Consider the following 17,281-nt stretch of genomic DNA (forward strand, 5'->3'; position numbering starts at 1 on the left):
TTTTTTAAAATTTATTATTTATTATTTCTTTTTGCTCTTGTTTCGTTTCTCTTCCTTGAGCTTCTTTTTGGAGACTTTGGGTCTATTGGCCTTTCTGTATAGGTGATACCCAATGAGGCCCAGGAGGGCTGGCACCATGGCCATCCCTACCAGAGGCAAAATGCCCTTCACCAGCTTTAGCCAGTAGTTGGCTCGGATTAGTGCAATCAGCTCCACGTCATACTGCACCACTGCATCCGCTGGAGAGGCAGAGGGGTGGAGAGGGTTAGACTCTCTGCATTTTATCCAGGGCTCAGAATCTGAATGAAAATAGGGAGCGTAGGCCACAGCAAAGCCAACAACTATGAAGCTGACAAGATTTAAATGTGGGCTTGAATTCCTTTAGACAAGAGTAGAGGAGGATTTACGAGCAGAGTCCAGTGATAATCATGTTGACCCCAACTACACATGTGGCTTGGGTCCAGTGACAAGTCTTTGAATGCAGGAAAACTTTCTGTGAATATGAAATGTACAGGCTCTTCTCCATTTGTAAGTGGGAGAACCCTCTATACTAACTACTAATTTATCGTATTTCCAAATAACCACACGGATAGAGTCTTTGCAGGGCTGAAATTAAATGGATTTAAACTAGACTTTAAAAAATCAACCAACCAATGAGCACATTCAACGTGATTATGAGATAACAGGAGTTTCAACATAAGAGCTGAAGAGGAAGAAGGATGAGGATGCTGCTTAAGAAGTAAAGGGGCAGGTGGAACAGAAATGAGTGGGCAGAAGAGGTACAAATAAGCAGCACTGGGAATGGGGAGGTAATAGGGCTTTGGGTAAAAGTTTCTCCTTGGTCCCCCTACCCTCCTTCCAGGCCTTCCTCTAAGCTGGAACTAGGATAAGAATTAACGAGCCCAGCCAGGCGCGGTGGCTCATGCCTGTAATCCCCGCACTTTGGGAAGCCAAGGCAGGCGGATCACCTGAGGTTGGGAGTTTGAGACCAGCCTGGCCAACATGGAGAAGCCCCATCTCTACTAAAAGTATAAAATTAGCCGGTCGTGGTGGCGCATGCCTGTAATCCCAGCTACTCGGGAGGCTGAGACAGGAGAATTGCTTGAACCCGGGTGGCGGAGGTTGTGGTGAGTGAAGATTGCACTATTGCACTCCAGCCTGGGCAACAAGAGTGAAACTCCATCTCAAAAAAAAAAAAAGAATTACGAGCCCAATACTCTGTGGAGTACAACACATTTTAGCTAATAGAACATTTGTTAGAACTGAAAGCAAAAGATATGCATCTTGGGAAATCTGTCCATCTCAACCCTTCAAAAATAGACATCGGCAGTGACCAATGATGGCTTTTAAAGTTATGGGGCAGACTTGGCTTTAACAGTTGCTTTTTGTTTTGTTTTGAATCACTTGACTGTGATTATTTTTACTGTCTCTTCCCTGATGGAGGCTGAAAGGAAGGGGTGGGGGGTGGCTGTACAGCTGACACAGCGTAGAGTTGTAGAAAAGGGCAGGAAAGAAGTCCAGTGTTCTGGGAAAGGTGGTGGCACAGGCAGCAGACCCATGTGGCCCAAGCAGGTCTCTTCCCTAACAAGTTACTGGCTGCTGGAGGTCATGCCAGGTGGCCTCATCAGGTTGTCTTTAGTCCCTGTTGGTGATATGAGGAGGAAAAAGGTGGCCCTGTAGATGGAGGCCCCAGCCACTCCTATCTGTCTAAACAAACTTGGTCTGGATCTTCTCAAGCATCAAACAAAGTATATAGCTCCTTATAGCTCTTAGGGACTGGGTATTTTGATGGCCTGAGAGAGAGTCCTAGTCAGATTACCTGGGACAGATGGTGGAAATCCCCGTTTTCCATAGGCCAAGTGAGAAGGAATGATTGCCCTTCGCTTCTCTCTGAGGGAAGGAATGTCAGTCACAGCCAGAGGCAGGAGAGGTAGGCCAGCAGCCTCAGTCCAGCTGAAGCTCCTTCAGCAAAACCCCCTGAATCTTCACACCCAAAACACGAATTTTTCCACCTGAACACCAAACAGGCTGGCCAGCAAAGGTGTCCATCTCCCCATGTGCCTCAACTCCCCCGACAAAAGCAACAGCGCAAGAGGCACAGAGGCTTTGAATGCCCTCAGAGGTCCCACTGACCTGGACCTGTCCAGTGGGAAGCAGGGTCCTTTATTCCACATTCTCCTGCTTAAGGAGTGAGGATGGCCGAGAAAGCCTCTACCCATGCAAAGGGGGTACCCAGGCCCACCCCTGCCGAGATACTCACCCCACACACATGTCGAGAAGACTCTGCTCCAGACCTTGAAGAAGAAGACACAACTGAACTGGAAGCTATCCACCTTCCCCAAATCCCATGACATGAAGATCAAAGTCTTCCTCCTCCATCCTCAATTGACCTTTCCCTCACTTCTTAAATCTCTGGCTTCCAATAGGATATGGGACAAGTGGAGTACTAGAAGTGAGGTTTGAACCTCAGGAGGTAACTCGTAGAGCCCTAGGGTCTTACTCATTTCAGGGGGGATTTCCAGGGCAGCTTTGGAGCCGAAGAGGCTAAGAAAGGGCTTAGGTTGGGAAGAGGTGGAATGGGAGGCACAGGTCACATACCTGGAATCACCTGCTTTTGGCCAAGTTCTATAACCAGAGGGTCTCTGGTCAGGGAGGTGTCAATAATACGTCCATCTACCAAGCTTCCCTGGGGGGAGAGAGCATCAAGAGCATACATCTAGCACCCTCTCCCTCCCAGCAGGCGCGCAACACACACCTGGACCGCTGGGCGGCGGCAGCCCCCTTAGTGCGGCAGCCTAGCGTTCCCCTTACCGCTGTAAGGAACAGGAAGCCCCAGAAGGCTGGCGCTTCTCGGAGATCTCTCCACCCTGCACTTCTCCGTGCCAGGTAGGAACTGGCAGAAAAGCAAGGAGGGAAAAGAGGCACGGAAGAGCAACGTCTCTCCCCTCGCCACGTGCTCGACGACCCCAGAGCCCCGAGTTTCTTCTCCCGAACCGCTTGCCACGTGTCCAAGCCAAAGCTGACGTGTTTCAGCAGGGCGCCGCCCCCTCCCAGGCCCCGCCCCGGCCCCCCAGACCCCTCACCGTGTAGTGTATGTGAAGCGTGTCTCCAAAAGCAGCGGGCTCGGCACATGGTTCTGGGGGCTCCACCTACGATCGGACTACAGGGGTCACGGATGCTCTTCCAAAGATCCCGTTCTCGCCCCTAGACCCGGCACCACCCCCAACTCAGTTCCCGCACTTCCTCTCCTCCCGGCTCCCAGGTTCGCTGAGACCCCAGTATTACCACCCAACAAGGCTCGGCCCACGGGGGCTGAGGGTCGGGACTATCTCCTCACCAGGGTCTCCACTTGGAGGGTCCGGACGGGACTTTCGGTTTCGAGCCCAGCCTCAGCCCGGCACACCGCCGCACTGAGCAGCAGCAGCAGCAGCAGATGGAGCGGGAGGAGTGAGGGGCGCAGGGTCATGACTGGGCGCGGGGCAGGGAGCCGGGGCACCAGGACAGGCTGTTCGGGTGGCGGCAGCCAGGACAGCGTTCCCGCGGCGCCCAGGCCAGACTGGACGGGACGGGGCGGGTCGCGATGCTAGAGCTCCTCCTCCTGCAGCCCTTCCTCCACCTTGTCCCCACCTCCGAAAGGGAGGAGGCCGAGGGGCGCCCTCTGTACCCTCCAAGATCCGGAGGGCGCAGGTTCTGACGCATCCGTTAGACGTTCTGTCCTATAACGTGGGTCGGGCCAAACAATAGCACCCATTTACGATTACCTACTGTGTGTCAGGAGCTAGTCTCTAATCCTCAAAACCACCCTGAAAGGTCGGCATGATTGTTTCCATTTTACAGATAAGGCACAGGGTGCTCAGGATGTGCCCAAGGTCATCAGGCTAGGTGGTGACAGAGACAGGATTCAAACCCAGGACTGCCTGAGTCCAACGTGGTTGCTGTCTGTTCTTCCAAGTCGTCTCCTTGTGGCTATCCTGGCAGTGTCTGGCTGGCAGACCCCACCCAGGCAGTTCTCATTCCTCTCCGACCTCCAGCTACTTCAGCTTGAATTTCTGGAGGTTATAGATCCAAGTATCCGAAATAAGGCAGGGGGCTGTCCTATCCCTGTCCTTTGAAAAGCTAGCTGAAAAGAGCAAGGAGCTGTTATCCTGTAAGAACAGGGTAAATCCCTGATCTTTTCCTCTGGTGCTACTATTTCCTTTCTCCTTTCATCAACAAACTTCTCAAAGGGCAGCACACGTAATCCATTTATGTAAAGACTTCACTTTTTTTTTTTTTTTTTTTTTTGAGATGGAGTCTCGCTCTGTGGCCCAGGCTGGAGTGCAGTGGTGCCATCTCCACTCACTGCAACCTCCGCCTCCCAGGTTCAAGCGATTCTCCTGCCTCAGCCTCCCAAGTAGCTGGGATTACACCCGCCACCACGCCCGGCTAATTTTTGTATTTTTAGTAGATAAGGGGTTTCACCATGTTGGCCAGGCTGGTCTCAAACTCCTGATGTCAGGTGATCCGCCTGCCTCGGTCTCTCAAAGTGCTAGGATTACAGGCGTGAGCCACCAGATTTCTTTTTTTTTTTTTTTTTTTGAGGGGGAGGAGTTTTGCTCCTGTTGCCCAGGCTGGAGTGCAATGGCGCGATCTTGGCTCACCGCAACCTCTGCTCCCGAGTAGCTGGGACTACAGGCATGCGCCACCATGCCCAGCTGATTTTGAATTTTTAGTAAAGACAGGGTTTCTCCATGTCTGTCAGGCTGGTCTCGAATTCCCAACCTCAAGTGATCCACCCACCTCGGCCTTCCAAAGTGCTGGGATTACAGGTATGAGCCACCACGCCCAGCCCACTTTTTAAAAGTTTTTGTTGTTGTTGTTTGTTGAGACGGAGTTTCACTCTTGTCGCCCAGGCTGGAGTGCAATGGCACGATCTTGGCTCACTGCAACCTCCACCTCCCGGGTTCAAGCGATTCTTTTCTCTCAGCCTCCCGAGTAGCTGGGATTATAGGCACCCACCACCACGCCTGGCTAATTTTTGTATTTTTAGTAGAGATGGGGTTTCGCCATGTTGGCCAGACTGCTCTCAAACTGCTGACCTCGTGATCCGCCAGCCTCAGCATCCCGAAGTGCTGGGATTACAGGCGTGAGCCAATGCGCCCAGCCAACAGTCTTAACTGTACTCATTCTTCCAATCCACCTGCAACAACCTAGACTTCCTCCCTATCTCCTGTTTCTGTTAGTGGCTCTGCTACCAGCATTCGTTCTTCTCTCATCTCCCACATCCAACGGGTCTACTCTGGATTCTCCTTCCAAAGTCTCTCCAGCTCTTCCCTTCCATTCCCATAGCTACAACCCTCCCACCTCAGGATAAGAAGCCTTCATTATCTCTCATTTGTATTGTTTAAAAAAAAAAAGTCCCCTCAGCAGGAGGGAATTTCTAGGGGTGATGAAATGCTCTATATTTTCAGAAGGATGTGGGTTACATGGGTGTATGCATTTGTCAGAACTTATCAAACTGTATACTTACAATCTGTGCATTTCACTGTTTGCGAATTACGTATCAAGATATTTTTTAAGTTAAACAAAAAAACCACAAAACTCCAAGTCTCCCTTAAAGCTGGATATGGCCAGTTGACTAAGTTCTGGCCAAGAGAACATAAACAGAAGTGTTGGAAGTATTGTCCTGGACTTCCAAGAAGGCCCTTTAAAGAGTTAACTAGAAAGCGTCCTTCTGTGCTGCTCTCTCTCCCCCTAATCATCTTTCCTTCCTTCTGTCTGCTATCTGGAATGCAGATGAGATGAATTAAGCTCTAGAAGCCATATTAGACCATGAGATGACCATGAGGATGGAAGCTGCACGCTAGGATGGTGAAGCAAAAAGAAGCATAAGTCCTTGTTAATTGCAGAGCCACCATGCCAGCTCTGGATTGCCTACCACCAGACACTTTTATTTTTCAGTTCTATCTGAAGCCCCATTCTTTGTGGGGGAAAAAAAAAAGACTAGTCAAGTGCAGTAGTGAGAAGGGGGAAAGAGTAGTTCAATCTGTAACTGGCCGTGAACAATTGAGATGCCTATCTTCAGACCAGCTGCCAGATACCTTTTTTTTTTTTTTTTTTTTTTGAGATGGGGGTCTCTGTCATCCAGGCTGGAGTATAGTTGTGTAATCTTGGCTCACTGCAACCTCTGCCTCCTGGGCTCAAGTGATTTTCCTGCCTCAGCCTCCCAAGTAGCTGGGACCACAGAGGCATGCCACCACACCCGGCTAATTTTTAAATTTTTTGTAGAGATGGGGTTTCGCCATATTGCCCAGACTGGTCTCGAACTCCTGGAGTCAAGTGATCTGCCCCCTTCGGCTTCTTAAAGTGCTGGGATTACAGGCATCAGTCACCACGCCCAGCTCACCTTTTTTTTTTTCTTTTGACCGAGTCTCGCTCTGTTGCCTAGGCTGGAGTGCAGTGGTATGATCTCGGCTCACTGCAACCTCCGCCTCCTGAGTTCAAGCGAGCATATCTGGCTAATTTTTGTGTATTTATTATTTGTCTATTTATTTGAGACAAAGTCTCACTCTGTCTTGCCCAGGCTGGAGTGTAATGCTGTGATCTTGGCTCACTGCAGCCTCCACCTCCCAGGTTCAGGCAATTCTCCTGTTTCAGCCTCCAGAGTAGCTGGGACTACAGGTGTGTGCCACCACACCAGGCTAATTTTGTATTTTTAGTAAAGATGGGGTTTCACCATGTCGGCCAGGCCGGTGTTGAACTCCTGACCTCAAGTGATCTGCCTGCCTCAGCCTCCCAAAGTGCTGGGATCACAGGTGTAAGCCACCATGCACGGCCCCCAGACACCTTTTAACTGAGGCAGAAATAAACTTCTATCTTTTTTTTTTTTTTTTTTTTTTGAGACAGAGTCTGACTCTGTTGCCCAGGCTGTAGTGCAGTGGTGCAATCTCGGCTCACTGCAAGCTCCGCCTCCCGGGTTCACGCCATTCTCCTGCCTCAGCCTCCCAAGTAGCTGGGACTACAGGCGCCCGCCATCACGCCCAGCTAACTTTTTGTATTTTTTTTTTTTAGTGGAGACGGGGTTTCACTGTTAGCCAGGATGGTCTCGATCTCCTGACCTCAAGATCCACCTGCCTCGGCCTCCCAAAGTGCTGGGATTACAGGCGTGAGCCACCGCGCCCGGCCTTTAAACTTCTATCTTGTTTAAGAAAAGAAAAAAAAAAGTCTTGGTGTGGTGGCTCACACCTGTAATCCCAACATTTTTGGGAGGCTGAGGCAGGAGGATTGCTTGAGGCCAGGAGTTCAAGACCAGCCTGGGCAACATGGCAAGACCCTATCTCTACAAATAATTTAACGATTAGCTAGGTATGGTGGTGTGCACCTGTGGTCTTAGCTACTCAGGAGGCTAAGGTGGGAGGATCACTTGCGTCCAGGAGGTCAAGGCTGCAGTAAGCCATGATCACGCCACTGCACTCCAGCCTAGGTGACAGAGACCTTGTCTCAAAAAATAATAAGCCCCTGATCCCTAGCCTCTCCCTACTTTGGACCACTGTGTACACTGCTGCTATCTACAGTTTCAGTCCCATCATCTGCCCACTAAAAAGCCTACCATGGCTTCACATTGCCCACGTGAATAAAATTCCAACTCCTTGACATGACAACTGAAAGCTTGTCATCCAGCCCTAATCTGCTTTTCCAAACTTGGCTTTTATTCCATTAAACTGAATCCCTCTTAGAGACAGGAACCTCATGTTTCTCATTTCTAAATCTTCATTGCTAGTATAGTGTCTGACACATCAATGCTCAGTAAATGTTTGTGAATTGAGCCAAATTCCCTTCCTGCTCATGGACTGTGGTCTGGCATCAGACAAACCTACATCTTCTGTTTCCATCTCTGTGCCTGAACTCATACACTTCTTTTACCTGTCAAGCTCCCTCCAGGCTAAGCTCAAATATCATTTCCTCTGTGAAGTCCTGATTCTCTTAGCTAGGATCTCCAGGCATACACTTGTGGACATTATTATATTTTTCCTTTTGTTGCAGTTATTTGTGTATGCCCCATTCCTCCCTTCCTATCTCCCCCAAAGAGCCAGCTAACTGATGGCAAGGTCAAGGTTGCAATCATGTCTGGAGCTAAGTACTAGCTACACGATAGCCTCCAAATAATAGATTCTAGACAGTATGTTTTACTTTGAAGAAATTATACTATGAAATACTGAGAAGCCATTAAAAGGAGATCTAATTACACTAATATAGAAAATCTCTAAGACAAATGTATATATACCCTAAGTAAAAAAGCAAGTAGCAGAATAACAGATGTGATATGAGCCCATTTATATTTTAACCCCTCCACAAACATGTGTCAGCACATACATTTAAAAAAGGAACTAGAAGGATGCACATCAAATAGCTGAGGATGGTTACGTTTGGGCATGGGAGAGAGAAGAGTAAGGGCAATGTCCCACATGTTGCTCTGTATATTTTTGTATTGTTTGGATCTTTTACAATAGAAATTACTTTGGTTATAATTTTTTTCCTGCTCAGATGTTACTTCTCAGGTTATAAAAATAATTTTTAATATTAAATATTACACGAATAAACAAGATATATAGCAATACAAGGGAATGAGTGGGAGGTGTTAAATGAGTTGTGCTAACAGAGCTAAAGGAGCCAACGTGGGGAAAAACTATAAAAGTCCTTGTAGTTGCAGAGGGCACAGGCAGCTTTGTGGAGGAGGTGAAACTTGAGCTAGATCTTGGAGTGGGATTTTTAAACAAGTGAGAAAGGAGGTGAAGGCAGAGGGCCAGATGTTTGGGAAAAATGAATGGACTGATTTGGCTAAAGTAAGGGATTTGGCCAGAGACTAGAGAGAGGTGGCTGGAGAGGGAATTAAGGGCTAGTTGTAGGCCGGGTGCAGTGGCTCACGCCTGTAATCCCAGCACTTTGGGAGGCCGAGGCGGGCGGATCACGAGGTCAGGATATCGAGACCCATCCTGGCTAACACGGTGAAACCCCGTCTCTACTAAAATTACAAAAAATTAGCCAGGCGTGGTGGCGGGTACCTGTAGTCCCAGCTACTCGGGAGGCTGAGGCAGGAGAATGGCGTGAACCCAGGAGGCGGAGCTTGCAGTGAGCCGAGATCGCGCCACTGCACTCCAGCCTGGGCGACAGAGCGAGACTCCAGCTTAAAAAAAAAAAAAAAAAAAAAAAAAAAAAAGGCTAGTTGTGAAGAACCTTGAATGTCAGACTAAGGCAGTGGGAACACATTGCAAGTTTCTAAGCAAAAGGATGACACAGCATACTGCACTGATGTATCAGCAGACTCGAACAGTGTGGTGAAGGTGGAAGGCTATTGTCTTATCCAGGTCTGAGGCTCTGTTCAGGAACCTGAAGGGGAAGAGGAGTGGAGTAGGAGAAGGTGGTAGTAGAAATGGAAAGGGCAAAACTATTAAACACAATATCCACCCACAGGCAGCACAAGCCCATCTGCACCCTGGAGGGACCAGAGAAGGAGCTTTTTCCTTGGATCAAGTTAGAAGAAATCCAAACAACAGAGAAAGGTGAGATGATTCTTGGAAAGATAGGAGAGTTGGCCCACCCCTGGCTGGAGATACAACTTAATCACAGAACCATTGCTAGAAAAGCCTCCACACTCAAAGGTGTCTCTGTCAGTGTGTAGGAGAAACCCTACCACAGTACCTGGGCTTCCAAGACTCATGGGGCACCCACCATGCCCAGCTTGATTAAAGACAATGGTGTTTATTAATTCATCCATTTGTTCATCAAGGTTGCATGACTATTATGTGCCAAAGAATAAGCAGAACACTGCTCTTTAAATGTTCTTAAGTGTTTATTTATAACAGGTTGTTAATAAAGTAAAAGCCTGAGTTGGCATATATAAATTTGGGTTTAAAATTTGATTTTGGTTGAGACAGGGTCTTGCTGTGTCACCAGTGCGGTGGCGCAAACACAGCTCACTGCAGCCTCAATCTCTCAGGCTCAAGCAATCCTCCTGCCTCAGCCTCCTGAGTAGCTGGGACCACAGGCACGTGCCACCATGCCCAACTAATTAAAAACATTTTTTTTTGGCCGGGCACAATGGCTCATGCCTGTAAATCCAGCACTTTGGGAGGCTGGGGTGGGAGGACTGCTTGAGCCCAGGAGTTTGAAACCAGCTTGGGCAACATAGTGAAATCCCATCTCTATTTTTTTTAAATAAAAGTAAAAATATATATATATATATAATATAAACATATAATTGTATATATATCATATAAACATATATTTATATATATATATATATATATATATATATATATATTTTTTTTTTTTTTTTTTTTTTTTTTTTTCTTATAGAGATGGGGCCTCACCATGTTGCCCAGGTTGATCTCAAACTCCTGGGCTCAAGCTATCCTCCCACCTAAGCCTCCCAAAGTGTTGAGGTTATAGAATTGAGCCACCATGCCTGGCCTGGTGTTGTATTTTCAAGGGTATACATACCCCCAGCTGACTAGATGTTTTCTTTCAGGTATGTTTATGCATATATTCATCCAAGAATGAAGCACTTACTTACTTCCTCCACTCTTCCCCTATGGCTGTTCTAATCAAAGAGGTATCATCCCATAAATGCAAGATTTGGCAAAGACAAGAACAGATTCCCCATCTCCTATCTATAACCTAAGGCCAAGAGTGCCCTTTATTACTATATTCAGAACTCAGAAAGAATTCCTGTGGGTTAGAGCCCCAAGCTAAGCCCTCCAAGCCTTAAAAGTCCTTCTATTCAATTCTGTGCTGGGAGGACCCTGAACGATATATGGGATGGAGGGGTGAAGGTGGAAGTGGGGGGAAGCAGGTGCCAGGCGGACAAGCCCATTCTCAAACCTGCTGCCTCGCCTGGATTGACTGCCAGACAGCTCTCAATATGCCTGGTTTGTGAGGAAGGGTGAGGGAAGGAAGGGTACATGGGTAGAACTGGTCAGCCCTCTGCATAGATAGCCAGGGTTTTGGATTGAGTATCCTCTCTTCTACACCATGTTCAGCTCAGAAGCCGGAAGTGCTCCTCAACTAGAGGCCAGATACTCTCTTCTGCAACTCACAGCCAACATGACACACACAAACAGACACTCATCTTCAAGCCTTGATGGTGAATGGTCTCAACCCAACTTCCTCACATCTACACCTCCAACCACTGCCTTCGGTGGCTTTGCTCCCTTTACCTGACTAAATGATTCCATTTCCTCTGTCCTAACCCTCTTCCCTTTTCTCAGGAATTCAGAGTCATTCTTACCCATACCAGCAATCAGGGTCAGGAAACCCAATCAGAAAGAAAAACTTGAAGAGGAAGGCGGGCATCCGGATCCTATCACTCCCCAGTGACCAGCAAGACACTCTCTCTCCAGGTACTGGGTTGGAAAGTGAGAGAACTGAATTCTGGCTCTCCTACCTTCACACTCTTCAGAACTGGAAAAGAAGCTTTTCTGCCAGGCACGGTGGCTCATGCCTGTAATCCCAGTGCTTTGGGAGGCCAAGGTGGGCGAATCACTTGAGGTCACAAGTTCAAGACCAGCCTGGCCAACATGGTGAAACCCCATCTCTACTAAAAATAGAAAAATCAGCTGGGCATGGTGGCACATACCTGTAGTCCCAGCTACTCGGAGGCTGAGGCAGGAGAATTGCTTGAACCTGAGAGGCAGAGGTTGCAGTGAGCCGAGATCACGCCATTGCACTCCAGCTTGGGCAAGAGTGAGACTCCGTCTCAAAAAAAAAAAAAAAAATTAGCAGGGAGTTGTGGTGTGCACTCATAATCCCAGCAACTCGGAAAAGGCTGAGGCACAAGAATCGCTTGAACCTGGGAGGCAGAGGTTACAGTGAGCCGAGATCACGCCACTGCATTCCGGCCTGGGTGACAGAGACTGTGTCTCAAAAAAAAAAAAAGCTTTTCTTAATAATATTACTGCTGCCCAAAGACATGACTCCCTACACTAAGCAGCAGCAATGGAAGGGGTGTCCCCCAACTCTCACTACCCAACGTGGTATACTACAGATGTCCCAAAAGGATTCCACAGCATCCTAGAAATGGATCCCCAGCCCCCTCCCTGAGTTCAGTGGTTTGACCTACTTTTAGCAGATGCCTAAAAACATCGAATGTACTAAATACATACTTGTCAACTTCCTGCTGTAACCAACCTAGGCGCTTGAACTGGAAGTGGTGTATGCAGTGAATCCCCAGAGCCTTTAGACCTTATACCTCAAGGCTGAGAAACCCACACATACATTCATTCTCTGCCACTGCCCCTATACTCTGCAATGAAGGGGAGGGTTTTGCCCTCCATCCCACCTTAGCCAACCTAAGCCCTTCCACTGGCTTTCTACAGGCTCATTTGGGAAGCTCCCTTGCCCAGATTATCCTGAAGTGGACCCTGGGTCCAAGTCTTCCGCCAGTCCATGACTGATGCTATGCATGTTCTGGAAGATGGGATTGCTGTTTGTCCTAAGAGCTGGGTGCTAAGTATCTACCTCCCAGGTTCAGTCTCCTCTTCATCCCCTATCCCCTCAAAAGAACTGGAAGGCTTCAGCAACTGCCACAAGAGGGCTCCCCTCTACTTCCTTCCTGGCATTCTAAATTGAGTACTAAGGGACAGATGGGAATAGGTCATCCTCTTCCCCAAGTTGTTCAGGGGTCCAAAGACCCCCCAGTGGCCCACCATTCAGCTAAAGTCCTCTCCCTTATCATTATGAGAGGTTGTAGCTCTGAAAGATATCTATTTGCTAATATAGAAATAAAACACCTGGCCGGGCGTGGTGGCTCACGCCTGTAATCCTAGCACTTTGGGAGGCTGAGGTGGGCAGATCACCTGAGGTCAGGAGTTCAAGACCAGTCTCACTAACATGGAGAAACCCATCTCTACTAAAAATACAAAATTAGCCGGGTGTGGTGGCGCATGCCTGTAATCCCAGCTCCTCAGGAGGCTGAAGCAGGAGAATTGCTTGAACCCGGGAGCCCAGGAGGAGAGGCTGTGGTGAGCCGATATCGTGCCATTGCCCTCCAGCCTGGGCAACAAGACCAAATTCCGTCTCAAAAAAAAAAAAAAAAAAAAAGAAGAAGAAGAAAGAAAACACTTGGGAAAGATACTCTTATCAGCACCCTGTCACCAAGCAGAACTTTGGAGAAGCCTGGAAGGAGGAAAGTGTCATCTGATCTTGAGGAGTAGGTGGGTAATGTTCAAAGTCATTGGGATTGATAAGACATGTCTGGTTGGAGTAGTTTGAGAGTTATATATGGGTGGAAGCACTGGTCCTTGAGGGTGATGGCCTATTAATAATAGAAGTGCTGAAAAGGAAAATTGGCAGGGGAGGCAGCAGGGAAGTAACTGAATATAAATTATATGCTTCACACTGGTACTTGGGGCTCTCAAACTTATTATATGCCTAAATCCTATCCCTTTCCCACAAAAGCAGGCTGGGAAGACCTCTGTCCTCAAAGCTTAAGAAAATATTAAGATTGGGGAAGGCTTGCCTGGCTCACCCAGACCTCACCCACCCTAAAGGTAGCACCATCCCTTTCTTTGCCTGGAGCCAGACACTGGTAGCAGGGGAGGAACAGAATAGTGGTGGGAGTGCGATGGGAGGATGGAGGCTTTATGGAAAAGGTCTATTCCTCAAGACATTTGTGGGATCTCTGGATGAGGCTTGGCATCCTGACAATGAAAAACCACACGCCTGAAGTAGAGCTGATGCAGGGCCATCAGTTGTAAGAAGGATTAAGGTCATTACACTGCCCAGACGTTTATCCTTCATGTTTATTCACTGCCAAAGTCCAGAACTAGACTAGTGAGGGGGTCTCTGTTCAAACTAGAAGCACCTCATGTGCAAGGCTGAGGAGATCTGAGAGTAGAGGCACATGGGGCCCTCCAAGTTCAGGGCCCTTCAGCCAGTGAAGTCCATACAGTCTACCAACAGGTGAGAAATACAGCTGATTTCAGGTTTAAACCCTTTAGAACTAGAGGAGGAAAGTCACGAAGCCCTCACACTCTGATGCCCAATTCATTTGGGCTCCCCCGCCGCGGGGTATGATGGGAAGAAATAACCAGTGTGGAGTGGCACTAAGTTCCTCCATAACCTTACTCTCTATCAATCAAGTGTGCCTTTTACCCCTTTGCTGAAAGAAGGAGCACTATGGAGAGAGGGACCAGAAACAGGACTCCCCTCACCATGAAACTACTGTCCCACGGCTGCTGCACAGCAAAGATGAAGGTCGGCTCCAAAGCTGCATAAAACAAGTTTAATTTCCAACCAGGGTCACAGTCATCGCGTTATCCCACATTTTGAGCAAGGATAGAGAAGGTGAGTTATTAAACATATACAGTCTACATTCCAGAGGAGGAACTGCAGTTACCACTATAACACCACAGACAAACTTTGGGGTGGGGGGAGCGGGAGTCCTCAGGAAGCAGAAAGCTGGAATCAGGGAAAGCATAAAATTAAACCTACCAGAGAGGAGAGGAGAGGGAGTGGGCAGAAATGGAATGAAACACCCAATCCCAAAAGAGCTGTTAAGTGAATGGGAATGTAGAAAGGACCACCCCTGCCAAGGGCTTAGCAGCCAGGGATACTACCAAGATCACTTACTGCCCCCTGCTGGACAGATCTGGGGCAGCACCAAGGCAACCTCCTAACATTTCCAGCCCCAGATTGGTCCCTGGAGCCCCCAAAAAAACAAGGTGAGGGGTGAGGCCTGAAGTGAGGAAAACCTATTTAGGACTGACATCTAACTAGAGAAAGTCAGGGAATGAGGCAGGAGAAGAGGCAAAGTCCTCATGAACCACAAAGATAGAGTGGAAAATCCTAAGTAGGAAAAAATACATGGAAAAGGGCAAATGAGCAACAGCAGTGAATGAGTTGAGATTGAAAAGGAAAGAGTTCAAGGAAGGAGAGGCAATGGGGCAAGACAAAATAAATCTGAGGAAACAGAGCAAATAAAAAGTATGGAGGGAAGCATCTGTGGGGCCAGGGAAATGAATACATTTTTAAATGAAATAGAACCTCCAACACCCCCCCCACAACCACCACACACAAACACACCCACACCCATATACACACACACTCACACACACACACAGGCCTAGAGAGCAAGATACCTGCACACACCTGCTGCATCCTGGGTAACACATCACTAAGTAACTGGCACTGAGGGAGATACCCCTGGAACCTCTCTTTCACAGTTCAATCTTGGATGGGGTTACTAATATTGATCCATCTGCTATCAACAAAAGTGGCCAGGAAACCTGGCCCCATGGAGTGGGGCTTGGGACAGCCCTACTGGGAAGGGGTCCCTCAGCCATGCTGTGGGGGGCCCTGGGCCCTGACCTTAGCAGGTTATGGGCAGCTGTCTCGGAGCTCAGGGCGCAGCCAGCACACACAGGAGCCCACAGGACAGCCACGTCTTCACAGAAACTACAGAAGTCAGGACCCAGGCGAGGACCTCAGGAACAAGTGCCCCCTGCAGACAGAGAGACGCAGTAGCAACAGCTTCTGAACAACTACATAATAATGCGGGGAGAATCCTGAAGACCACTGCATCCCACAAGCACTGACAACCACTTCAGGATTTTATTTCCTCCACTCTAACCCCCAGATCCATTTATGAGAAGTGAGTGAGGATGGCAGGGGCATGGAGGGTGAAGGGACAGCAAGGATGGTCTGAGGGCCTGGAAACAATAGAAAATCTTCGTCCTTTAGCATATCCTGGACTAGAAAACAAGAGTTGGAGAAGAGGGGGGTTGATACTAAGGTCAGCTATGTCACCCCACTTCCCAGCTCCTCATTAGAATACCCAGTCAGCCCTGGTCAGGCCAGTAGGAGTACTAGGGTGAGAAAATTCTGACCAAGGACAGATGACCCATCCAACCCCTAAGATCAGAAGGGTGGTGGGGCACTGGAAGGCAGGAATGGGATTGGCCCATGCCTCACCTTCTCCTAATAACAAAAGAGAATGAAGATGGAAAACCTCAGGCCTTCGCCTCCCTTCCCCCAATGCCCTGGGTCCCTAACACACACCATGGACTTGCCATCCCCACCCCCCAGTCAAGCTCCAGAGGAACAGATCTGAAGATGGTGGGGAAGGATCAGTTGAACACTCTAAGCTGATAAGAGTGAGTGGGTTCCTCTCTCCTTCCCAACAGTAAGGCAGAGCAGAGTGGCATCTCCTTGGGAACAGTCATCTAGAGATAAATGCCATCCTCCAGCCCTAAGAAGGGTGGAGAGAAGAGTACAAGGAAAATGGTGGTGAAGAATCCATCATCTGTCCTATCATCCAGAAAAACCTACCTGCAGAGAGGAGGGTAACCAGTCAAAGACTGGGGCAGTCCGGCTTGACTAATGCCCTCCCACCTTCTTCCCTTAATCTCACCAACACGGAAGGGGCAGATGACAGGCTCCAGTGGGCAGTGTCCTGGCTGCAAGCCCTGAGCTTCACTCCACCCCCTCCCCGCTCCCCCCGGCCCCCACAAATATATCTCTCTATACATGTATATACAGGCGCACACATGCACGCAAACACAGAGAGGCCCGTGCAATTTCCATGTAAAACAGGGAGAGGGTGGCAAAGGAAAGGCAAACAGGGAGTAGAAGGGCTTGTGGGGACAGGGAAAGGACTCAGATGCCAAGAGGACAGCAACCACTGCCAAACAAAGAGAATACCCCACTCGACCTCCCGAAACCCAGAGGGTGAGAGAGAGAGGGGCCACCCCATGAAACCGTAACAACTTTTTGTTTTAAATCCAGTAAATTGGAATGACTCATCATCAGGACAGCAATTAGGGATTGGTCATATAGGTGGACAGGAAAAAGGAGGGGAGGCAGGGGAGGCAAGGCTCTTGCTGGGCATGTGGACATGATACCCAGGGCCCTGGCCACACTTGCATGGAGAGGAAGGGGTAGGACTGGGGCAGGGTGACAGTAGGTATGTCAGGGGTGGGTGGGGTGCTTTGTTAGGGCTGTCTGGCTTTCACTTCTTGTTTTTGAGCTGATTGGCCAGCCAGTCCAGGCCTTCGTACAGCCCGTCCCCGCTGGTGGCACAGGTGGCCTGAATGTACCAGTTACGGTGACGAAGGGAATGCAGGCCCAGCTTGTCTGTGATCTCAGCAGCGTTCATAGCATTAGGCAGATCCTGGAGCACGTGGGAGACACATAAAAAGAAGCCTCAGGATTTTTTAAAGGCTTCTAGAACACCCATCTACCAAAGAAATGTGTACCAGCACCTTCCCCTCCTCCTTTATTTTAGGAAACCCAGAACAAGATCCTA

At 48.7% G+C, this 17,281-nt stretch overlaps 2 protein-coding genes across 17 annotated transcripts in view, besides 3 other annotated features; both read right to left on the minus strand.

Moving 5' to 3' along the window:
* FKBP11 (FKBP prolyl isomerase 11) lies at positions 1-17,072 on the minus strand. 5 transcript variants are annotated; one of them, XM_047428939.1, is made up of 7 exons: positions 13,692-17,072; positions 8,637-8,640; positions 2,812-3,160; positions 2,599-2,686; positions 2,261-2,294; positions 1,820-1,890; positions 1-239 (listed from the first exon to the last, which is right to left on the minus strand). In XM_047428939.1, exons 1-7 carry the CDS (start codon positions 13,774-13,776, stop codon positions 22-24), a joined length of 849 nt encoding a protein of 282 aa, XP_047284895.1. In that variant the 5' UTR covers positions 13,777-17,072; the 3' UTR covers positions 1-21. The 5 variants fall into 5 exon arrangements, with proteins under 5 accessions (XP_047284895.1, NP_057678.1, XP_047284896.1 ...); NM_016594.3 differs by lacking the exons at positions 8,637-8,640; positions 13,692-17,072 and adding an exon at positions 3,338-3,530 and having other exon boundaries at positions 3,084-3,149; XM_047428940.1 differs by lacking the exons at positions 8,637-8,640; positions 13,692-17,072 and adding an exon at positions 3,338-3,530 and having other exon boundaries at positions 2,812-3,149.
* Positions 2,476-2,535: an enhancer, noted in NCBI's record as "active region_6295". NCBI's record gives its function as "activates an Ori minimal core promoter by ATAC-STARR-seq in GM12878 lymphoblastoid cells {active_cell/tissue: GM12878}" and the evidence as "EXISTENCE:reporter gene assay evidence [ECO:0000049][PMID:35858748]".
* Positions 3,796-3,895: an enhancer, noted in NCBI's record as "active region_6296". NCBI's record gives its function as "activates an Ori minimal core promoter by ATAC-STARR-seq in GM12878 lymphoblastoid cells {active_cell/tissue: GM12878}" and the evidence as "EXISTENCE:reporter gene assay evidence [ECO:0000049][PMID:35858748]".
* Positions 13,761-17,281, minus strand: part of ARF3 (ARF GTPase 3) — a 21,765-nt gene continuing 18,244 nt past the window's right edge. For all 12 annotated transcript variants that reach the window (NM_001412932.1, NM_001659.3, NM_001412926.1 and 9 more), the window contains one exon: positions 13,761-17,146. In NM_001412932.1, the coding sequence (NP_001399861.1) occupies positions 16,985-17,146 (162 nt within the window). In that variant the 3' untranslated portion in view covers positions 13,761-16,984. The remainder of the gene's footprint in view (positions 17,147-17,281) is intronic.
* Positions 14,527-14,716: a silencer, noted in NCBI's record as "silent region_4415". NCBI's record gives its function as "represses an Ori minimal core promoter by ATAC-STARR-seq in GM12878 lymphoblastoid cells {active_cell/tissue: GM12878}" and the evidence as "EXISTENCE:reporter gene assay evidence [ECO:0000049][PMID:35858748]".

Source organism: Homo sapiens, chromosome 12 (assembly GCF_000001405.40).
Source record: "Homo sapiens chromosome 12, GRCh38.p14 Primary Assembly".
Lineage (NCBI taxonomy): Eukaryota > Metazoa > Chordata > Mammalia > Primates > Hominidae > Homo > Homo sapiens.

Excerpts from the sequence above, each read along its gene's own strand:
- FKBP11 (XM_047428939.1), bottom strand. The coding sequence starts at position 13,776 with ATGAAGGATAAACGTCTGGGCAGTGTAATGACCTTAATCCTTCTTACA. Across the intron at positions 2,295-2,598 it reads CCAAAAGCAGGTGATTCCAG|GTCTGGAGCAGAGTCTTCTC; the intron begins GTATGTGACCTG and ends TTCTTCTTCAAG. Across the intron at positions 1,891-2,260 it reads CTTCTCGACATGTGTGTGGG|AGAGAAGCGAAGGGCAATCA; the intron begins GTGAGTATCTCG and ends TCCTTCCCTCAG.